Raw genomic sequence first — 24555 nt, 5'->3', positions numbered from 1 at the left:
TCTATCTTCTGTTAGAGTTTTCAAAATACTCATGTTGTTTCTTCTTTAATGGTTTGGTAGAATACATCACTGATGCCATCTGAGCCTGGGCTTAACCTTGTATAAATATTTTTAATTACTAATTTAATTTTTTTACTTGTTATAGATCTATTCAGATTTTCTATTTTTCTGTTATTTTTTTATCACTATTTTTTTGGTATTTTTTATCTTTTTAGAGTGTTTTTCCAGTGCGTTAGCTTACATATGGGTAAGTTTGCTTCTTAACTAGCGTACACTTTCACTAGTTAAGAAACTAGTCATAATGGCTTCTTTTTTTTAACTTTTTTTTTTTTTTTCTGAGACAGGATCTTGTTCTGTCACCCAGGCTGGAGTGCAGTGGTGTGATCTCAGCTCACTGTAGCCTCCGCCTCCTGGGCTCAAGCAGTCCTCTCCCGTCAGCCTCCCAAGTAGCTGGAGAAGCCGAGCGCCACCACACTCGGCTAATTTTTGCAATTTTAGTGGAGACGGGGTTTTGACATGTTGCCCAGCCTGACCTTGAACTCCTCGGCTCAAGCCATCAACCCATCTCAGCCTCCCACAGTGCTGATATTACAGGCATGAGCCACCGTCCCTGATTGATGAGGTTTTTTATTTCCTAAAAGCCACTGCCCTGAGGGCCCCTGCCCCTTCCTCAGGCTCCCCTACATCTCTCCACAAGTCAGCCTCCAACGGTTCACACCTGGAAAAGCAGGGGACCTTCAGAACTGAGCTCCAGCCTAGTTGGCACCTATATAGATTGGTTGGCCCTCCTGCTATTTCAGTTATTATTTTGAACATCACCACTTGGAAGACTGAGACTCCACTTCAGACCTCTTCTTCCTAACACCCTGATCTGGGGCTGATTATGTGCTTTAACATTCTACTGGGCAGGTCTGGCAGAAGGAACAGTATCAACTGACTGAGTAGGTCTCATTGGCAGTTGTGATTCAGAGACCTAGAAAGCTGAACCCACGGCTGGCAAGAAGAGGATGGTTTGTGGGACCTGGGCTGATGTCTGATGAAATTTTAAGCCCCAGCTATAGCTACTACAAAGAAAAGTGGCTGATGATAAGCATGTAACTCAAAGTAAGTGAACTGAGAAGCATGTTTTTTGTTTGTTTGTTTGTTTGTTTGTTTGAGACAGTTTCGCTCTTGTTGCCCAGGGTGGAGTGCAGTGGCACAATCTCGGCTCACTGCAACCTCTGCCTCCCAGGTTCAAGCGATTCTTGTGCCTCAGCCTCCGAGTCGCTGGGATTACCAGGTGTGTGCCACCACACCTGGCTAATTTTTTGTATTAGTAGAGACAGGGTTTCTCCATGTTGGTCAGGCTGGCCTCGAACTCCCGACCTCAGGTGATCTGCCAGCCTTAGCCTCTCAAAGTGGTGGGATTACAGGCATGAGCCCCCGCGCCCTGCCTGAGAAGTATGTTTTTATGTTGAGGATGTTACTGTGTGATGCCACATACATTGAAACACATACATTTAAAGTAAGGCCACAGACTCAAATGCCTCTAGAAGCCAGACAGGTAGCATACCTCCTCCTTTCATTGATTCAGAGACGTACATTTTTTTTGGCATTTGAACATCTCTGAAATTAGAGTGAACGTTACAATTGCAAGTCAAATGGTGTATAAAAAAGCAGCATCTTTATAGTCAGTGGTGCTTTAGATTAGACGAAATAACAGAAAATGAGTGGTGTTGGCCAGGAAAATTATATCCTTCTCTGTTGGCCTTTCACTTTGAAAGAGAGAAATGGATACAGAGACCTACTTTCCTACAATAAGACACAAGAACAATGACAAATGGGAACGACTTTGCTGCCTTCATGTCCGGTAGCCAATAGGGATTGGTGGCAACAGGCAAACTGGAGAGTACCCTTGCCCCCAGGGCAGCTCCCCCTCTTCCCTAGCTGATTATTGCCTGTGGTGGCATAGATCTAGTGTTGACAAGTGTTCTGAGTTTTCAAAGGAAGTCAGAAACCCCAAAATCTACATCTTCATGTGAAACTCCTAATTTTAAAATGATGGCTCAATTTTTTTTAACTGGCGAAAAAAAATATATATATACAAGTTAGATGAGCCTATGAGTGCTCAGAATAAATATAACCTCTCTTTTAAGGATGCAATATTAAGAGGCAGCATGAGACAAACCAGTTTTTACAATTAAGCCAAAAAAGAAAAGTTAAATCCATTTCGAAGTTTAACACTAGGTTCAGAGGCCCAGAATAACAAATACTGCAGGGCCTCTTACTTATTTCATCTTTAAACTTTCTTTTCTGCCTCCCACTAAATGGAAGATAAGAAAATATAGTTAAATCTATTGAAGATGTTGCATTCCTGTTTATAAAAATGTATGATCACTTTTTAAAATGCAGGCTTAGGTTTCCAAAGCAACAGCATTTGCTTCCCACTGCTGTAGACTGTGGTCAGTGAAAGGCAGGATGATGTCATGGGAAACCCCCAAATTATGAGAAGACCAGGGTGCTAATTCTGGCTGTGTGATGTGCAACTGATTTAGGTTCATTTCATCGTCTTTATTTATAAAATGGGGATGATAATAGCTACCCTCTGTACCTTACATGGTTGTAAGGGCCACATGAGATAAAACATGTGAAAGTATAAAGTGTTATGTATATATTAGTTGGTATTGCCCAAATCACATGGGTAGTTGGGACAGCACAGGTTCTTGAATCTCAGATTCTCCATCTCTGGCTACTGCTCTTTCCCTAGACTGCAGCACCTGTTGAAATGGTCATCTTATCAGCCAGTGGGGTTGAACAGATGAGGAAGCATAAGGCAAGAAGTTATTAGAAAAAAGTTAGCCAACATCTTAGGATCTCAAATAGCACTGTGTCTCTGTACAACAGGGTGTAGGCAAAGCTTTCCTGTTAAATCTGAAGTATTGACCTTTAACGTTTTTATTTATTTATTTTTATTTGTTTATTTTTTATTTATTTTTATTTTTTTTGAGACAGAGTCTCACTCTATCACCCAGGCTGGAGTGCAATGGTGTGGTCTCGGCTCACTGCAACCTCCACCTCCCTGGTTCAAGTGATTCTCCTGCCTCAGCCTCCAGAGTAGCTGGGACTACAGGCACATGCCACCACACTGGGCTAATTTTTGTATTTTTAGTAGAGATGGGTTTTCACTGTGTTGGCCAGGGTGGTCTTGAACTCCTGACCTTGTGATCTGCATGCCTCGACCTCCCACAGTGCTGCTGGGATTACGGGCGTGAGCCACCATGCCCAGCCGACCTTTAACATTTTTAGGAGGTACCCAGGAATGAGAACACCACCTACATTGTAGATCAGCCTCTCTAGCATTCTCACAGTTTGACCTTTGGCTGATTCCTTCTTTCTCTTTTTCATATTTTTGTGCTATATAAGCTTTATGAGGAAATGAGTCAATCAAACTCTTAGCCTGAAATGAATGAATGCCTTCTTAGCCTGAAATCCAGCATTTTACTTTCCCCCTAGCTCAGGGTTTCCCAAACAATGTTTTTAAAGTGCTATTTCCATAAGATTTAATAGGTGCTCAAGAAAAAAGATAATCTCATGGTCAAAAAAAGACTGGAAAAGTGCTGTATACTGTACCCACTCTGGGATATTCACAAGGTATTATATTAAAGTTTTGAGAAGACCTGTTTACCCATTTATTTGATCACAGAATCCTCCTTTTGTGGAACCAATATTTGTGTTTACCAACTCATTTGATCACCTCTGTCAATAACCCTCCTCAATGGCATGTACGTTAATGTCTTGTGGCTCTGGTGTACTGCAGCAATTGGCTTGGAAAATGCTGTTCTATAGCCTCATTTCACATACACCAAATTGAACCACCAGCAGTTAGCCATGCATGTATTTCACTTTCCCACTTCCAAGCCTTTTGTAATTATTCACTCTGCTTGGGATGCTTTCTCTTCTCCCTTCTTGTTGTCTGGAGTCTTTTTAGCCAAACAAGCAAGGTCATTGCAGCAGCAATGATTCCCATTTCTGAAGTCTTAGCACTTGCCACTCTTCTAGCAATTTTAGCACCTAGTACTGTGCTAATGTGTACCTGATCTTTTTTCCTGCTCCATTTTACATTTCTTGGGGTTATTGTTTTCTGCGTAATACATTAGCCTGGTGCATTGTTTGTAGCCAGAATTCAGTAAATAGTTGTGGAATGAATAACTAAATGAGTTGTGGCCAGGTGCAGTGGCTCATGCCTGTAATCCAGCACTTTGGGAGGCCGAGGTGGGCTGATCACTTGAGGTCAGGAGTTCAAGACCAACCTGGCCAACATGGTGAAACCCCATCTCTACTGAAAGAAAAAAAAAAATTAGCCAGGCATGGTGGTGCATGCCTGTAATCCCAGCTCCTTGGGAGGCGGAGGCAGGAGAATCGCTTGAACCTGGAAGGCGGAGGTTGCAGTGAGCCGAGATCGTGCCACTGTACTCCAGCCTGGGTGACAGAGTGAGACTCCGTCTCAAAAAATAATAATAATAAAAAATAAATAAACAAGTTGCAATAGGATGAAATTTAAAATGTTATCTATAGTAGATAATGGAATTGGAGTTTGAAGAGGAGGAATGGGGAGGGATCTCTGAAAGCCTGGTCTATATATATGATTTTTAGCAGTTTTATTAATTGGCATAAAAGTATACAATTTGCTAAGTTTGGGCATATGTGTACACCCAAGAAACTGCAACCAGTCAAGATAATGAGCATATCCACCACCACAAAAAGTTTCCTCATGCCCCTTGTAATCCCTCCTCTCCACCCTTTCCTACATCTTCCTCCCTCTTGTGTCCCGTCCCCGTCATACCACATCCTTAGCCCAATTCAGGGCAATCACTGATCTGCTTTTGGTCATTATACATTGGAGTAGATTTCATTGAAATTTATATAAATGGAATCACGTGATATGTACTCTATTTTGCCTGACTTCTTCACTCGGCATAACTATTTTGAGATTTATTCATGTCGCAACATATTCATCCCTTTTTATTACTGAGTAGTATTTCATTGTATAGTTATACCACAGTTTGCTTACCCATTTACCCATTTATAGACATTTGGGGTTTTTTTTCTAGTTTTTTAGCTATTAAAAATAAAAATTCTATGAACATTTGTATGTAAGTCTTTTTATAATACATGCTTTCATTTCTCTCTTGTAAATACTTAGGAATTGGCTGGGCATGGTGGCTCATGCCTGTAGTTCCACAACTTTGGGAAGCTGAGGCAGGTGGATCACTTAAGGTCAGGAGTTTGAGACCAGCCTGGCCAACATGGTGAAACCCCGTCTCTACTAAAAATACAAAAGTTAGCTGGGCATGGTGGCGGGCGCCTGTAATCCCAGCTACTCAGGAGGCTGAGGCAGGAGAATCGCTTGAACCCAGGAGGCGAAGGTTGCAGTGAGCCAGGATTGTGCCATTGTACTCCAACCTGAGCAATAAGAGTGAAACTCTGTCTCAAAAAAAAAAAAAAAACTTAGGAGTGAAATGATGACTCCTGTGCTAAGCGTATGTTTAACTTAGTAAGAAACTGTCAGATATGGCACCAGAGGCCAAGGCAACAAAATAAAAAATAAATAAATTGGGCTACTTCAAAATTGAAAACTTTTGTGCAAAAACAGGACAATAATCAACAAAAGGTAATCCATGGAATGAAAGAACATATCTGCAAATTGTGTATCTGATACGGGGTTAAGGTCTAGCATATATAAAGAAATCCTACAGATCAACAATAACTAGAACAACAAAAACAATTAAAAAGTGGGAAAAGGGCCAGGCTCAATGCCTCACACCTATAATCCCAGCACTTTGGGAAGCCAAGGCAGGAGGATCACTTGAGCCCAGGAGTTGGAGACCAGCCGGGGCAACAGAGATTGAGGCAGGAGGATCACTTGAGCCCAAGAGTTGTAGGCTGCAGTGAGCTGCGATCACACCACTGCACTCCAGCTTGGGTGACAGAGTAAAACCTTGTTTCAAAAAAAAAAAAAAAAGTGAGAAAAGGACTCCAATAGACATTTATCCAAAGTAAGTATACAGATGGCCAATAAGTACATGAGAAGATGTTGAGGATCTCTGGTCATTAGGGAACTGCAAATCAAAGCCACCATGAGATATCACTTCATATCCATTAGGATGGCTATTATTAAAAAAAGAAAATAAGTTTTGTCGGGAATGTGGAGGAATTGGAGCCCTTGTGCTCTGCCAGTGGGAATGTAGAATGGCATAGCCTCTGTGGAAAACAATACGATGTTTCCTCCAAAAACTAAAAACATAATTATCATATGATCCAGCAGTTTCACTTCTGGGCATGTACCTCCCAAAAATGAAAGCAGAAACCCAAAGAGATACTTGTACATTAATGTTCAATAGCAGTATTATTCACAATAGCTAAAAGGTGGAAGCAACCCAAGTGTTCCTTAATGGATAAATGTATAAACACAATATGTTATATAGTATTTAGCCTTAAAAAGAAAGGAAATTCTGACATGCTACAATATGGATGAACTTTGAAGGCATTATGCTAAGAGACATAAGCAGTCACAAAAGGCAAAATAATGTATAATTCCACACATACAAAGTACCTAGAGCAGTCAGATTCAGAGACAGAAAGTAGAATGGGTGTTGCCAGAGGTGGAGGGTAGGGGGAATGGGAAGTTACTGTTTAATGAGTACAGAGTGTCAGTTTTGCAAGGTGAAGGAAATTCTGGAGATGGACAGTGGTAATGGTTGTACAGCAATGTGAATTTACTTAATGTCACTGAACTGCACACTTAAAAATGGTTAAAATGGTCCGGGCACAGTGGCTCATGCCTGTAATCCCAGCACTTTGGGAGGCCAAGGCAGGCGGATCACGAGGTCAGGAGATTGAGACCATCCTGACCAACATGGTGAAACCCCATCTCTACTAAAATACAAAAAAATTAGCTGGGCGTGGTGGTGTGTGCCTGTAGTCCCAGCTACTCGGGAGGCTGAGGCAGGGGAATCGCTTGAACCCAGGAGGCAGAGATTGCAGTGAGCCGAGATCGCGCCACTGCACTTTAGCCTGGCGACAGAGCAAGACTCCGTCTCAAAAACAAAAACAAACCAAAAAAAAAAAAAAATGCTTAAAATGTCCACATGAAGAAAGGGAAAAAAATGAAAAGGTTAAAATGAGAAATTTTATTTTATATATATATATTTTTTACTACAATTTTGTTTTGTTTTGTTTTTTGAGATGGTGTCTTCCTCTGTCTCTCAGGCTGGGGTTCAATGGTGTGATCTTGGCTCACTGCAGTCTGCCCCTCCCAGGCTCAAGCCATCCTCCTGCTTCAGCCTCCGGAGTAGCTGAGACTACAGGCACATGCCACTGCACCTGGCTAATTTTTGTATTTTTTGTAGAGACAGAGTTTTGCCATGTTGCCCAGGCTGGTCCCAAACTCCTGAGCTGAGGTGACCCTCCCGCCTCCACCTCCCAGAGTGCTGGGATTACAGGTATGAGCCACCATGCTTGGCCTTATTTTACCAGTTTTTTTTTTTTTAAACCCTGCCAAACTGTTTTCCAAAGTGGTATACCATTTTACATTTACAGCAACAGTGTATGAGAGTTCCAGTTATTTCCCATCCTCATCAACACTTACTACAATAAGTCTTTTTAATCTTAGTCATTCTAATTGATGAGTGACGTCTCATTGTGGTTTTAACTTGCATTTCCCTGATGCCTAATAATGTTGAATATAAAGCATGTGCTTATTTGTTCTTGGTATATCTTCTTTGATGAAGCGTCTGTTAAAATAAATTGCCCATTTTTGGCCAGGTGCGGTGGCTCACACCTGTAATCCCAGCACTTTGGGAGGCTGAGGCAGGCAGATCACGAGGTCAGGAGATCGAGACCATCCTGGCTAATATGGTGAAACCCTGTCTCTACTAAAAATACAAAAAAATTTAGCCAGGCATGGTGGCGGGCACCTGTAGTCCCAGCTGCTCAGGAGGCTGAGGCAGGACAATGGTGTGAACCCAGGAGGTGGAGCTTGCAGGGAGCCGAGATCACGCCACTGCACTCCAGCCTAGGCGACAGAGCGAGACTCCGTCTCAAAAAATAAATAAATAAATAAATAGATAAATAAATAAATAAATTGCCCATTTGTATAGTGAGCTGTTTTCTTGAGTGTTGAGAGTTCTTTATACCAGTAAGATACAAATCTTACATCAGATACATGTTTATGAAAATATTTTCTCCCAGCCTCTAGTTTTTTAATTAACAGTTTCTCTTGAAGAGCAAAAATTTAAAATTTTGATGAAATCCAATTGGTTATGTTGTTCTTTTAATGATTCTTTTTGGTGGTCATATCTAGGAAAGCTTTGCCTAATGCATGGTCACAGGTGTTTTCTTACACATTGTTTTTATAGTTTTAAGTTTTATATTTAACTCTATGTTCAATTTTGAGTTAATTTTTGTATATAATATGAGATATAGATCAAAGGGGTTTTTTGTTTTATTTTTACGTGTGAATATCTAGTTGTTCCAGTATCATTTGTTGAGCAGACTTCTTTCTCCAAGGAATTGGTTTTGCATATTTGTCAGGAATCAGTTATTCATGTATGTGTGGGTCCATTTCTGGACTCTCCATTCTGTTCCATTGCTTGTCTACTTAACAGCAGTACAAACTGCCTTGCCTACCGTAGCTTTATCATAAATATAGCTCAATAAATCTGTATTTTAGATTTAAATCTAAATTTCACATTTAGATTAAAATCTAAAATCTGTATAGAAGTATTGAGAGTGAACCTTCTTGTCTTGTTTCTGATCGTAGAGATAAAGCATTCAGTCTTTCACTGTTAAGTCTGATGTTAGCTGTAGGTTTTTCAAAGGTGCCTATCAGATTGAGGAAGTATAATTCTATTCCTACTTTGCTAAGAATTTTCATCAGGAATAGATATTAGATATTAGATCTTGTCAAGTGCTTTTTCTATGTTGAGTGAGATCATACAGTTTTTCTTTTTTATTAATATTTTGGGCTTTGGTAGTTTGTGTCTTTAAAGGAATTTGTTCATCTGTATTGTCAAATTTATGGTATAAAGGTGTTCACAATATTCTCATTAACCTTTTAGTATTTGTAGAATCTGTAGTGATGTCATCTCTCTCATTCTTTTATTTGTACAACATGATGTTTTGAAATATGTACATGTTGTGGAATGGCTAAATAAGCTAATTAACATATGTATTACCTCACATATTTATCACTTTTTGTGATTAGAACACTTGAAATCTACTTTCTTAGCAATTTTCAAGGAAACAATACAGTAGTCACCATGTTATACAATAGATCTCTTGAATTTATTCCTCCTCCCACAACCTCCGCTAACCAGCATTCTACTCTCTACTTGTGTGAGTTCAACTTTTGTAGATTGTACATATGAATGAGACCATTCAGTATTTGTCTTTCTGTGCCTGGCTATTTCACTTAACATAGTATTTTCCAGGTTCATCATGTTGTCACAAATGACAGGATGCCCTTCTTTTTTAAGGCTGAGTAGTATTCCATTGTGTATACATACCACATTTTCTTTATCCATTCATCTGTTGATAGACATTTACATTAACACCGTATCTTGATCATTGTCAATAATGCTGCAATGAACATGGAGTGCAGGGATCTCTTCAATATACTAATACTGTTCTTTGGATGTATCACCCAGTAGTGGGATTCATGGATCATATGGTAGTTCTGTTTTTAATTTTTGAGAAACTTCCTTACTGTGTTCCATAATTTACATTCCCACCAACAATGTGCAAGGATTCCCTTTTCTCCACATCTTCACCAACATGTATCTTTCTTTTTTTAATCATAGCCATTTTAACAGGTGTAAGATGAAATCTCATGGATATAATTTGCATTTCTCTAATGATAACAATCTTGGGCATTTTTTCATACACCTATTGGGCATTTGTATATCTTTTGAGGAATATCTATCAGGCCCTTTGATCATTTTTTTTTTTTTTGAGATGGAGTCTCACTGTGTCGCCCAGGCTGGAGTGCAGTGGCTTGATCTTGGCTCACTGCAACCTCCGCCTCCCAAGTTCAAGCAATTCTCCTGCCTCAGCCTCCCGAGTAGCTGGGATTACAGGCATGTGCCACCACGCCCAGCTAATTTTCTGTATTTTTGGGAGAGATGGGGTTTCACCATGTTAGCCAGGATGGTCTCCATCTCTTGATCTTGTGATCCGCTCACCTTGGCCTCCCAAAGTGCTGAGATTACAGGTGTGAGCCACCGCGCCCCGCCAAATTTTTCTTTCTTTATATCCTTACTCTATAAGCTTTTTTCTATTTTTAAAATTTTTTATTTTCTTTTTTTACTTTTTAAACTTTTTTGTTAAAACTAAGACACAGGCCAGGCATGGTGGCTCATGCCTGTAATCCCAGCACTTTGGGCGGCCAAGGCGGGTGGATCACCTGAGATCAGGAGTTCCAGAGCAGCCTGACCAACATGGAGAAACCCCGTCTCTACTAAAAATACAAAATTAGCCAGGCATGGTGGCGCATGCCTGTAATCCCACCTACTCAGGAGGCTGAGGCAGGAGAATTGCTTGAACCTGGGGGGTAGAGGTTGCGGTGAGCCAAGATAGAGCCATTGCACTCCAGCCTGGGCAACAACAGTGAAACTCCGTCTCAAAACAAACAAACAAACAGGCCAGGCGCAGTGGCTAATGCCCGTAATCCCAGCACTTTGGGAGGCAGAGGTGGGCAGATCACGAGGTCAGGAGATCGAGACCATCCTGGCTAACACGGTGAAACCCTATCTCTACTAAAAATACAAAAAAATAGCCGGGTATGGTGGCGGGCGCCTGTAGTCCCAGCTACTCAGGAGGCTGAGGCAGGAGAATGGTGTGAACCCGGGAGGCGGAGCTTGCAGTGAGCCGAGATCGTGCCAACTGCACTCCAGCCTGGGCAACAGAGCGAGACTTCGTCTCAAAAAAAAACAAAATTAAGACACAAACACACACATTAATGTAGGTCTACACAGTCAGGATCATCAATATCACTGCCTTCCACCTCCATGTCTTGTCCCACTGGAGGGTCTTCAGTGGCAGTAACATGCATGGAGCTTTCATCACCTATGATGATAATGGAATACCTTCTTTTGGAATAGCTCTTGAAGGACCTGCCTGAGGCTTTTCTACAGTTAACTTTTAGAAATGTATAAGTAGAAGGAGTACCCTCTAAAATAAGTATAAAATGTAGTATATTAAATATATAAACCAGTAACAGTCATTTATCAACTATTATCACATATTGTGTACTGTACATAATTGTATATGCTTTACTTTTATATGGCTAGCAGCACAATAGGTTTGTTTGCACCAGCATTACCACCAACACATGAGTCAATGCATTACGCTATGATGTTACGACAGCTACTGTATCACTACCCAGTAGGAATTCTTCAGCTGCACTGTAATTTTATGGGACTACCTTTATGTATGCAGTCATTGACTGAAATGCTGTGGAGCTGGACATGATTGTAATATGGAAGCAGCCTTACACATTTGCCCATGTACGTACCATTTCCAAGGTCGTCTGTTTTGTAGAACTAGAGTTCCATTTGCTATCATTTTCCTTCCTTCTGAAAGACTTCCTTTTACATTTCTTTGAGAACATTGTAGTGCAAGTCTTCTGGCGATTAATTATTTAAAATTTTGTTTTCAAAAGGTATTTTCACCAGTACGGAATTTAAGGTTGACAACTTTTTTCTTTCCATACTTTAAAGATAAGAAGTATCTTTAACTCTCTCCTTGTTTGCTTTTTATTCCCCTAAGAAATCTGTTATCATCTTTATCTTTATTTTTTATACGTAATGTGTCTTTTTTCTCTACTTTTGAGATTTTTGCTTTATCATAGTTTTAAGCAATTTGTTTATGATGTTTTGACTTTATTTGGTATAGTTTTCTTCATGTTTCTTGCGTTTAGTGTTCATTGAGCTTCTTGGATCTCTGGCTTTATGCTTTTTCTTAAATTTGGAAAAATATTGGCCATTATTTCTTCAAATATGTTTTCTGTCCCTCCTCTAGTCTGCTTTTCTTTAGGGACTCAAATGACATATATATTAGGCAACTTGAAGTTGTTTTACAGCCCACTGATTTTTTTTCATTTTTGATAATTTTTATTGCTATGTCTACAAATTCATCTTTTCATCTGCAGTATCTTATCTGCCATTAATCCCACACATTTTCATCTTCACACATAATTTTTCTATCTAGAAGTTCCATTTGGGTCTTTTTTATTTCTTCCATGTCTTTATTTAACTTTTTAAACATATAGAATACAATTATTGTAATTGTTTTAATGTTTTTATCTGCTAATTTAACATCTGTGTCAATTCTGGGTCAGTTTTGATTGATTATTCTCATTATGGGCCATGTTTTCCTGCTTCTTTGGATGCTTGGTAATCTTTGGATGCTAGACTTTGTGAATTTTACCTCGTTAGGTGTTGGTTATTTTAGTATTCCTATGAACATCCTTGAGTATTATCCTCTAGTGCAATTAAGTCCCTTGAAAACAGTTTGATCCTTTTAGGTCTTACTTTTTTGATCTGTGTGGTGATCTGAGCAGTGTTCAGTCTAGAGCTAATTATCGCCTCTACTGAGATGAAAGGCTTCTGAGTACTCTAACTATCTAATGCCTCATGAATTAGAAATTTTTTCAGTCTGGTTGGTGGGAACAGGCGCCAGCCTTACGTTAGCACAAAACACTGTTCCCTGTAACCTTATTGAAGGATTCTTTCTCCAGACTAAAATACTTTTCTTACACACATGCTAATCAGTATTCTGTCCCTATACTTGAGGGTGTCCCTCTGCTAATATCTTGGTTCCTCTGTCTCTGGAGCCTTCTCCTCTTCAGTAATTTGTCCTGTCAGTTCTAGTCACCTTGGTCTCCCCAAACTCTCAACTCTACTTCCTCAACTCAGGTAGTCCACTGGGATAACTTCTGGGTCCCCTCTTCCCTGTGCTGTTTCCTGGAAACTCTCTCAAAGCAATAAACTGGGGTGATTTATTTTTTCCATCTCTCAGGAATTGCTCTCTCATTGCTTGTCTTGTTTCTTGAAACCGTTGTTTTATCCTTTGTTCTGTGGGCTGCTTATCTGTTTGTTTTGGGTTATTTCAGGCAAGAGGATAAATGTAGTTACTAGACTTCATCTTGGCCAGAAGCAAAAGTTGTAACAACAATTATTTATTTTCTACCTCAGGGTCAATTGGGCTTCAGCTGATTTAATCTGGGGTCATTGAGAGCTGTTTGGGCTAAGCTAATTTCTACTGGACTTTAGATATATATATATATATGTACATGCAAATACATATGTATGTGCTAGGCTAATTTCTACTGGACTTTATATATATATGTACATACAAATACATATGTATGTGCTAGGCTAATTTCTACTGGACTTTACGTATGTATGTATGTGTGTAATACATACACATATACATGTATGTATGTGTGTTTATATACATGTGTATGTATGTGTGTATATGTATGTAGGCATATATATATGTATGTCTATATACATAAAGAAAGAAGGTTTAATTTAGTTGAAAGTAGAAATCAGCAGGTCAGTAGTAGCCACCATAATCTTTTGGGATATAATGCTACTAATTTCAAAGAAATTATGGGTATAGTGTTGAAATGTATATTTCTAAAAGTAACTATGGAAATTATCATTTAACATCTTTGTTTTTTATTTTAAAATTAGAAGACAATGTATATAAAAATATGCAAGAATCACAGGAAACCCACATATCCAACCACCTAGATGAAGTTGTTGCTGCTGTTAGCATCACTCATAGAAAGAAGTTCCAAAACAAGCTGCTTCAGACAGCACTATTCCAGCCTCCTCGAGAGAAACTCCACCTCTGTGAAGAGAAAGCAAAGTCCTATTCCAACAGTCATGAGGTAAGGAGACTTTTGTTTCTGTATTTCTACTCTGAGAATTGAGCTATATGGTATAATCAAGAGAAGTAGAATGTTTTGGATTACATTCCTAATCTCAGCAGTTTGATACAAGAAAGTATATAAGACAGTGCCTTTGTTATAACATGAATGAATGCAGTACCTCTAGGCTCCAAGCACAGCAGTTCGCATGGCCAACAACAAATATTTGTTGAGCTCGCACTGTGTGCCAAGTCTAGGCATTGGGATACAACACAAACAAAGCAGATGCAGCTTCTGCTCTCATAGAGCTTGTAATTCCTTATAATCTCAAATCTTGTTCTCTGCATGCTTCTTTCCCATTCTTTCCTCAAAAGTTTTACTCATTCACTAACTCATTCAGTAGGCATTTCTCTATCACCTCTTATATGTTGGGTCCTCTTCATCCAGTCATCATAAATATCTATTGTATGACTAATATGTGCCAGGTGCAATGTAGGTGCCAGGGGCACAGAAGGAAAAGCCACAGTCTTTGTCTTGGAGGGACTCGGGATTTGGTTGGGAAGATAGACGGGGGACAGATAATGGTAGTCAGGTTGATGAGTTCTGTGAGAGCTCGAGTGACATAGATGCAAAACACGAAGGGGTGGACAGTGAGCCTGGAGGTGGTAGAGGGACAGCAGTTAAGGCACACTTTCTTCGGATGGGAGTTACGTAGACTGCACTGGTAAACAGTGCTTAGGAGTTGGACAGGTGAGGAAGAGGACCAAATGTTCTGGACAGAGGTAGCAGATGGACAAGAGCCAATGGTCTGAGGGAGTGCAGTCTGTCTGGGGAACTGTAAGGAGCTGTCTGGGACTAATGTGTTAGTGACACAGGGCAAGAAATGAAGCTGGATTATGGGCAGGAACTGAGGCCCAGAGGGCACTCAAGGCCTAGTGAAAGAGTTTTGATTTTCTCCTAAAGATGATGGAGGATTACCATGAGGTTATAAGCAGAAGCATGCCATGAGCAGGTCTGATTTTAAGAACAGTCACTCCCATAGCTGTGAAGGGTATGGACAAAAAAAGAGTAAAACTGGAAAAGGAGCATCAGTTAGGAGGATATTTGCAGTAATCCTGGCAAGTAATTATGAGGACCTGAACTACGTGTGGCAGAGACAATAGAAATGCTGAGCTCTTTTGAAAGGAATTTAGAAATGCAAATCAGTGGGACAGGACTGGATGACTGAGGGGACATAGGGAATGGAGATGTGAGAGTGAGAAAGATGGGGTGTGTAGAATTCCCACCACCCAAGGTCTGAGTCTGCTTGGGTGATTGGAGACTTGTCCATGACCTTCATCAGTATAACAAATACAGGAGAAAGACCAGGATTATAGAGAAAGAGCATAAATTTGGTTTTGAGGTTGTGCTTGTTCATTATGCAACAGATACTCACTCAGAACCTACTATTTGTAGGCTCTAGGCTGGCAGCCTTTCTCAAACAGACTTCTGCAAAAGAATTAAGCCCTCATGCCCAAAGGCATTTAACAAATGTAAAGAATTAACTTCTTTTCTGTGTAACTAGAATGGTATTAAACATTTCGTTGTTCTGTGGTTCTGGTGAAGAATCCAGCATACAATGGTGAACAGGACAGACAAGGTGCATACCCTGATGGACCTGAGAGGCAATCAACATTGTAAATGAACCGGATTATTATAGACTGTGATAAGTGCTAAGGAGGACATAGAGTGGCTCCGTCTTGGGTAGGGTGATCAGGGAGGGCCTCCAGGAAGACGTGACAGATAAGCTGAGACCTGAGGAAGAGAAGAGCCAGTGTGGAGGAGCTGAGGGAAAGGAGTTCCAGGGAGAGGAAACAGCACACATAAATCTACAGGGTAGGCACAAGCAGGACATATCTGAAGCAAGGAGAAGAAGCTGCAAGCTGACATTAAATATAGTGAGAGAGGCTGTCAGTTCACTTAGGGCCTTGCAGGTTTCAAGCTAAGTGCCCTGGAAGGCCTTAAAAATATTTTCAGCATGGTATTAACATGACGTAATTTACTTTTTAAAATATCAGTTTTTTAGTAATTTTGTATTTTAAAATAATTTCTGACTTACAGAAAAGGCACAAGATTCACTCATTTTTAACATTTGCTTTATTGCTTTGTTCTCTGACTCTAATTGTTTTTCTGAACTGAGAGTAAGTTATAGATATTATGGCCCTTTACCCCCAAATTCTTCAGTGTTTATTCCCTAAGAATAAAGCTATTCCCTTACATGGCCACAGTACAGTGATCGTAATTAGGAAATTAATGTCAGTATAATACTATTATCTAATCTGTAAACCTTGTTTATATTTCTTCTTAATAATGTCCTTTACAGAAAACAATCAGACCCATGGTTCAGTCTGTGAATTCATGTTAAATAGAGTTGTCATGTCTCTTTAGTCTCCTTTAATCTGAAACAATTGCTTAACCTACTTTGTTTTTCATGATCTTGATATCTTGGAAATATATACTCTAATTGTTTTGTAGAATATCTCTCTGTTTGAGTTCGTCTTATGCTTCCTCATGATTCTATTCAGATTGTACATTTGGAGCAGGACTACCACAGGTGTGACATGGGGCGCTCCTTAGTGCGTCCTGTCAGGAGGTGCAGAATGTCTGTTTGTCTTCGTACAGTGATGCCAACCTTGAACACTTGGTTAAGGTGCTGTCTGGCAGGTTTCTTTACTGCAGAATTGCCATTTTTCCCTTTGTAATTAATAAGTATTTTGTGGGTAGATTCACTGAGACTATGTATATATTTAAAACTTCACTCTGCCACCTGAATCAGTTATTACTATGATGTTTGTCACATAGCCAGTCTCTGACTTCCACATTATTTCAACATTTGTTTGTTGGCATTCTATTATAAGGAAGAGCTTTTCTTTCTTCACAGCTTATTTATCATTCATTTATTCCTATCAGTATGGGTTCAGGAAATTGTATTTTTCAAATACACTACAACCTGTTATTTTCATGGAAGCTCGGATTGTTCCGTATCTGCCAGTGAGAGACCCTTCCAGCTGGCTCCTGAGTCCTCAATGCATCCCCTTACGGTTTAACCACTTCCTGGCGCTACCACTTGCTGGTAAATCATCTCGACTTTCCAGCCTTAGACTCCTTCATCTTTAAACTGAGGGGACCAGGTGAGATGATTTCCAAGGTTCCTCCCAGTTTTGAAATTGCCTTCCTACTTCGTGCTTGTCTTCTGTCTGCCCCTTACTGATGCCTATTGCTAAAGTCACTGGAACTGGTAGAATAAAGGTTGGAAAACCAATAGGGATATTTGGACCATGCCTTGTAACAAATAAGGACGTGAAGGAAGGACAAGCTGTTTCTTGTATACCTCTATCCCTACTCAGGTCCTGAGAACCAAGGCTATTATCAGGGAAGCCCAACTCAGCCTGCACCGTCCTCTTCGCTGGAAATCTGTAGTTGGGACAGATTCACTATCAAAACAGATCTACCTCTCTTTTTGTCTGTCTGGATTCCATGATGTTGTCATCATTTCCGTGTCTTTCATACACTGTAGTTGTTGTTCTCTTTCTCTCTCTCCAAAGTAGTCATTCCCTAAACTTCCTGTGTCTAGAGGCAATAAAAAGGTGATTCCCAAAAGAAGTACAAACAGCCAGTTAACACATGAAGATGCTCAGCCTCATCAATTTGGGAGAAAAATGTGGACTAAATCAAGGAGAAATGGGCTAACTGACAAACTGACAAACTAAAAACCAAACAAAAACTCCACAATTTGTACTCAGTTCAACGTAAGGGGCATTTCTGCTCACATGTGCTGCGCTGAAAGTATGAACTGGTACAACCTCTGGGAGAGGCACTTCAATAGCTACTCACAGCCTCAGAATTTTGCATATCCTTTATACAGCAATCCCATTTGTGGGAATTTGTTTTGTGGAAATGTTTATGGGTATGTGCAAAGCTATCCATACAGGATATTCAGTGAGTAAGAAATTTACAAACAGCTAAATGCCCAATAAAGAGTGGATTGAGTAATGCAGTTATGATATAGTCATATAATAAAATACTGTGCAGCCATTCAAACTTATATCATAGAAGATGACATGAGAAGTTATTCGTAAATTGTTAAAACAGCAGCTGTAAACCTGCATGTAGTTTATGAACCTATTTTTGAAAAAGAAAAAATATATAAAGATAGATTCACAAAAATAAAGAATAAAGGGATATTTATCTACCTAGATATCTCTAGGCGGTAAACTTACAGGTGATTTTTAGTTTTTATCTTTTTGCTTATCTGTATTTTGACAATGAGCATACATTATTTTTGTAGTAAGAAACGTTACTGTAGAAAAGAATATGACAGTCCACCTTCTTTCAGCACTTTATGGTGAGCATGTATTCCTTAGCTTCCTCCTGCTAGGTCACAAAAGTGACTCTCCTTTGGCCAACTGTCTGGCTGTGTATTTTTGTCAAGAAAAATGTTGTTTTAGGGTGAAGGTATTTCCAATGCATGTAGGAATTGTGTGGAAATGCAAGCCCTTTGAGCTTTGACATTGATGGGCGTGCATCCTAGGTGTATCCTGGATCTTCTTCACAACTCTGTCCTTGTTCTTACCTTTCTTCCTCTGCTTTGACCCCTTCAGCTTTCTTTCTTCAGCCATCTCTCTTGCTGTTCTGACTATCTGTTGCTGCATGACACCCCAATAACTTAGTGGCTTAAAACCAAAACAGCCATTCATTTTTCTCATGAGCCTGCGGTTTTTGCAGAGCTCAGTGGGGTTTGCTCAGCTTTGCTCCGCACAGCATCAGCTGGTCTTGAAGGGTCTGGAGAATCTGCTGCCAAAATGGTTCACTCAAACTATCAGGCCTTTCTATGTGGGTCTTCTCTCCATGGGGCCATGTTGGCTTCCTCACAGCACTGTGGTTGGATTCTGTATTAGTCTGTGGTGCTGTCCTAACAAAATTCCACAGATGCTGTGGCTTAAAGAACAGAGTTTATTTCCTCACAGTTCTGGAGGCTGGAAGTCCAAGACCAAGGTGTGAGCAGGGCTTGATTTCATTCTAAAGCCCTCTCTCCTTAGTTTGTAGATGACTGCCCTCTTGCTGTGTTCTCACATGGTCATTTCTCCATATGCATGCCCATCCCTGGTGTCTTTTCCTCTTCATATATAAGGATACCAGCTGTATTGGACTAGGGTCCACCCTAACACCTCCTTCGAACTTAAATCACCTCTTTAAAGACCTCATCTTCAAAAACAGTTACATTATAAGGTGCTGGGGATTGGGACTTAAATATATGAATTCAGGGAGGTTGGGGAGGAGACACAGTTCAGCCCATAACAGGTTTCAAGAGTGAGTACCCAAGAAGAGACAGAAAGCAAAGCCACCAGTTCCTTTAGACTGTGGCCTGAAAACTGGCACTGTATCATTTCCTCCACGTTCTATTGGCCAAACAGTCATAAAGCCCAGATTCAAAGGGAATGGGACATAGACCCCCATCTCTGAATGGAAGGAGTATCAAATAATTTTGGAGCTGAGGTTTTGTTTGTTTGTTTGTTTTGAGACGGAGTCTCGCTGTGTCGCCCAGGCTGGAATGCAGTGGCACGATATCGGCTCACTGCAAGCTCCGCCTCCCGGGTTCACACCATTCTCCTGCCCCAGCCTCCCGAGTAGCTGGGACTACGGGCGGCCGCCACCATGCCTGGCTAATTTTTTGTATTTTTAGTAGAGATGGGGTTTCACCATGTTAGCCAGGATGGTCTCGATCTCTTGACCTTGTGATTCACCCATCTCCGCCTCCCAAAGTGCTGGGATTACAGGTTTGAGCCACCACGCCCAGCCTGGAACCGTGTTTTAAAACTGCCAGCTCTGCTTTGAGGATATGGCTGCTCTGAGATCACCTGGAGCTGGGAATCCAGTTTTCTGTTCTTTTTGTCCTATCCCTGAATGAAACTGTGCTTCTTGCTGCTTTAATCAAGTCTGTAAGTCCTGCTGATCTCATTTGCTATGCTAGTGCAGATGGCTAAGGAAAGTTTTGAATTGAGAGCTAAACTATAGTATTTGACAGCCTGGGCAACATGGCAAAATCCCATCTCTACCAAAAATACAAAAAACTAGCCAGGTGTGGTGGTGCACACCTGTGGTCCCAGCTGCTCAGGAGGCTGAGGTGGGAGGATTGCTCGAGCCCCCTGGAGGTCGAGGCTACAGTGAGCTGATATCGTGCCATTGTACTCCAGCCTGGGTGACTCCAGGTGAGTGAGACCCTGTCTCATACACACACACACATACACACACACACAAAGTGTACTATTTGAAAACACTACCATTTGCCCCTGTTGTGCCTGCATATGTAGTAGCTGTTCATTGGTGGGCAGCTGGGAAACCTAGAGAATGACTAGATGTCTGCTCTACTTTTTCTATTTTTTAAATTCTATTTCTTTTTTTCACCCTTAAATGTACTATAAATTGTACTTCTTATGTTTATTGTCTGTTTCATCTTACCAGATGTACATGCTACCACCCCAAATAGATCTTTGTCTGTTTTGTTCTCTGATACATCTCAAGTGCTTAGAACAATGTTTTGCACATAGTAGTCACTCAGTATTTATCAAAGGGATATAAAAGCGCATTGATTTTGTGTTTTGTGACTCTTAAGTTGTATAACTGGTAAGCCTGTTTTCTCTTCCTAACAGTACAAACAGGCCGTCCATGAGCTTGTGCGTTGCGTAGCACTGACAAGAATTTGCTATGGAGACTCACATTGGAAACTAGCAGAGGCACATGTTAATCTGGCTCAAGGCTACCTCCAGCTGAAAGGTAAGCTCGCCTTAGACTGAGGGGGATCAGTTGGTCGATTTCTGCTGTTCTCCCCAAAATTTGATTCACACTTAATTAGAAGGATCAGGTTTTTTAATATTCTCCTTTCTAAATACCAAGAAGCCATTTCTTTTTAGAAAGAGTTGATAAGGTATATAACCTGTAAACATTCAAAGGGGAAAAATGGAAAAAATATTTTAACTTTTCTGGTTTTTTTGTTTTTGTTTTTGTTTTTATGATTTCAAAAGTAAGGTTCTTAGGAGAAAATTAATCTGTTGGGCCAGAAGACTTTGTAGGAAAAAACCCAAGGTATGGAATAGGGGCCCAGAATGGGATCCATTCACACTTTTATTGGAGAATCTCTTGACTGTAAATAACCAAAAAATTTAAAAAGACTAACCCAAATTGGCATAAACAAAAGTTTTTGGCTCATACAACTTAAAAATTCAAGGGAAAAAATTTTTAGACTTAGCCATATCCAGTGTTCAAACAATGTGACCAGGATTCAATTTTTCTCTCTCCCACTGCTTGGCTCTGTTTTTCTTGGTATTTGCTCCATTCTTTGCCAGGTTTTGCCCACATGGTGGCAACAAGACTGCCTGCAACTTTAGACTTCCCTTATAAGCATTCCCAGGAGGAAAAGAATGTCCCTCCACCAAAATCCCGGGATTTGGGAAGGGTTCTAATTGGAACAACTTGGGTTGTATACCAAAGGCAAGGAATAGTCTGATTGGCTAAACCTTTCTTTTGGCTTCATTGGATCCTGAAGGAGAAGCAGGCCTTCGCCACATCTCATGGATTGGATGTGCAGGAGCCAGGCATCCCAAAAGGGAAACAGAGGGGAGAATGCGTGCAGGGGAGGCAAAAACAATAGACACCCAGGATATGATGATGGCTTCTACTTACTGACTGTGCAGCCTAAGACAAGATGGACAAGAGCATCTCTGTGCTCAGCTTCTTCAGCTGAAAAGTGATGATGATGGTAATGGTGATGCTAACTTTCCAGGGTTGGCCCAGTGAATAAAGAAAATAATAGAAGTGGAAAACACCAAATGCCAAGCATATTCTATACCAAGCGTATTCATTATTGCCACCCAATAAATTTGGCCAAATCTGATTATAGACTGGTCCTACCTATTAGATCAAAGGCTCTTAGGGACCTTGGAGATTATCTAATTTAAACTCTGCCCTCCCACCCCATTTTGTAGATTCAGGGAAAACAATGAGTCTGAGTTAGAACAGCTTTCCCCATACCACACTGTTAATAAGTAGCTGATCTGAGACTCAGACCTAGGTTTTCAATGCCAGTTTGTCCTGCCATCTGGGGTTTCAGACGATGCTTTTCTTATACAGCCTGCTGCCTCTCTGCGTGACAGTCCTTCTTTCTCAATTTAAAGTAAAAGTAGTATCTACCATTTATTAAAGTCTCATTTGGTGCCAGGCATGTTGTTTTCCATGCATAACCTTATTCAGTCCTCACCACAGTCCTCAAAGGTGGGTATTTTTAATATCCCTGTTTACAGCTGAGAAAGCTGAGGCCAACGTTTTATAATAAGTGGTGGAGCAGGGGATCCATCCTGGGCAGTCTGACTTCAGAGCCAATGTTCTTGAACTTCACCCTATGCTGCCTCCAGTAAATTGAGTTCAGGTTCCTTCAGGGACTCGACACAGTTGAAAATACAGTCCAACATGCTTTGTGTAACATCACAAGCACAGGTGGCACTAATACATGTCTGTGCTTTTTAAAAATATGTAATAAGACAATCTTGTGTAAGAATTCCCACATGAAACACATACCCTTGATTTTCTCCATTAGAAAATATATTCTTCCTGTTTTATAGACATAGGAACAGAATTAACTTCATATTTTGACAGATTTTTTTAGAGATCTAAGATACAATTTTGTGTAACTAAGAACATAAGATGGGGGCTGTGTGTATGTGAGTGGAAGTGGTTGTCGGTGTAGGGGAGGAGGATGGGAATACAGGGACGTGCAAAGCCCTGAAGCCGTGCTAGCGATCTCAGTCCTCCCTTCCCACAGATTAACAAGCCCGTGGAGGAACACTGGAACACACTGGGGAATTCTTTCTTAGTAGTGATTTTTTTTTGCTCCACTTTGTTTCATATTAGTCTCTTACCACATAGGAAGATGAAATTGTCACACATTAATCTGTTACCTCACTGGAATTGTGTTTGTAAGTTTTTGTAGATATCAGATATGTATTATGTTAAAAAAATAACTCTCTGACATTATGATTATAGGTGGGTGAGCTGAAGATTCAGAATTTTTAGTATTTCATTAAGATTGCAGTTACACAGCCAGGATTAAAATTCATGAATATTTTATTTCCTGCTCAGAATGCTATAGTTCTTGTATTCAGTTTGTTTCTTATAATTATATGTAACATATTTTGCTTCTGCTATTGGTGAGGTTTCAAAGCTGTTCAATTCCAGCTCATTTTGTTTATTTCTAAAAAGGCCATTTGGGGGAAAATTTATCTTGGGTACTTGGTATAAAACACTTCTTTGGTTGTTACAGTCATGGCAGTGTTTCATGCTGCCCAGATACGTCTCCATGTGTCATTTGACAATATGTGAAGGAGACCTTGTTAGATTCCCAGACCATAAGGAACTGTATTCCTGTCCAGTTGAGATGATAGAGAAACTGAGACCTCTTTTTCTTTGTCCACAGGACTGTCACTGCAAGCAAAACAACATGCAGAAAAAGCCAGACAAATCCTCGCCAACTCCATTGTGCCTCCCTATAGTGAGAATACAGATGTTTTCAAGTTTTCCATTGAGCTTTTCCATACCATGGGCAGAGCTTTACTCTCCCTTCAAAAGTATCCTTTTGCCTCTAACTTTTACAAATAGAAATACTATTCACGTAACACTTACACGCCAAGTAAAAAGCTGATGCTGATGGATGACTTAGGAAGTGTGATTGGAAGTATGGGAGCCAAGGAAGTTCAGGACATGGGGTGTAGAATCTAGAACCAAGTGGAAAATTTCCTGAACACAATTCAGATTTAAGGAAGCTGCAGAGAATTTGACAAAAGCAGAGAGACTTTCAAAGGAGCTGCTACAATGTGGAAGAATTATAAAGGAAGAATGGATAGAAATTGAAGCACGGATCAGATTATCATTTGCACAGTAAGTTTCAAGTTTAGGATTTTGCATACATGATGGCGGGAGGCTCTTTGCCTGTAGAATCTGTCTCAGGTAGGAGGAGCATCTCCATGAGGCTGCGGCCATGGCTTCTCTGGAGGTCACTGTGTAAAAGTAAAAGAGGAACACAGTCATGTCAGAGCAGCCCCAACCAGGGCATCCATCAGTGACACTTTTCACTCTCTGTGGAGTGCCCTGGGTCCCAGAGTTCTGATCATTATTCTCTTGACTTTCGTTTTACCTGCTCTCCCTCCTCACCCCCAGCCCCTACACCCTTCTCTTCCTCCCTCCCTTCCTTTTTTCCCTGCCCTGCTCCAGTCTAAAATGCTTCAACAGGTTGAGTTTATGATGAAAGCCTCAAAGGAGAAAGATCTTAAACACATCTGAATCCATGATCACGAAAGGATTGTTCTTTGTTCCTCACCTTACTCCATACTCACCAAATAAACTCAGCTGGAAGAGACACGAAGAGAAGGTTGTGCATAGTTAGTACTTTTATCTTTCTCCAAAGAGCAACCTAAGCCAATTCCTCAGAGTATTGGGGTGACAGAGTTTGTCCACACTCTTTGGAAAGATGGACTTGTGCAGAGGAAAAGGTGGAGAAAGGTCTGTGTTGGAAGAGGCAGAGTATCCCAGTTGACCTACATGGCTGCCCTTAG

General features: G+C 40.5%; 1 protein-coding gene across 22 annotated transcripts in view, besides 1 other annotated feature; it reads left to right on the top strand.

Annotated features, from left to right (window-relative positions):
• TTC23 (tetratricopeptide repeat domain 23) overlaps positions 1 to 24555 on the top strand; it is a 114903-nt gene that overhangs the window by 8757 nt on the left and 81591 nt on the right. For 18 of the 22 annotated variants that reach the window (XR_007064487.1, NM_001288616.3, XM_011521936.2 and 15 more), the window contains 4 exons: positions 13737 to 13936; positions 20605 to 20728; positions 23421 to 23571; positions 23756 to 23881. Coding sequence is in view for 20 of the 22 variants with exons in the window: in XM_047432953.1 (XP_047288909.1) it covers positions 13737 to 13936; positions 20605 to 20728; positions 23421 to 23571; positions 23756 to 23881 (601 nt within the window). In the remaining 2 variants the exon portion in view is untranslated. Of the gene's footprint in view, positions 1 to 909; positions 1105 to 7388; positions 7482 to 13736; positions 13937 to 16922; positions 17086 to 20604; positions 20729 to 23420; positions 23572 to 23755; positions 23882 to 24555 lie in introns of those variants that run through there. The other 4 variants (NM_001288615.3, NR_109947.3, XM_024450028.2 and 1 more) reach the window with 4 other exon arrangements.
• Positions 23356 to 24555: an enhancer, noted in NCBI's record as "BRD4-independent group 4 enhancer chr15:99758119-99759318 (GRCh37/hg19 assembly coordinates)". NCBI's record gives its function as "activates an origin of replication core promoter dependent on BRD2, P300/CBP, MED14 and CDK7 cofactors, and independent of BRD4, by STARR-seq in HCT116 cells {active_cell/tissue: HCT116}" and the evidence as "EXISTENCE:reporter gene assay evidence [ECO:0000049][PMID:35650434]".

The sequence above is a fragment of the Homo sapiens genome, chromosome 15, assembly GCF_000001405.40.
Source record: "Homo sapiens chromosome 15, GRCh38.p14 Primary Assembly".
Lineage (NCBI taxonomy): Eukaryota > Metazoa > Chordata > Mammalia > Primates > Hominidae > Homo > Homo sapiens.
Note: the sequence above shows the minus strand (reverse complement) of the source record. Positions and strands in the feature narration are given on the sequence as shown.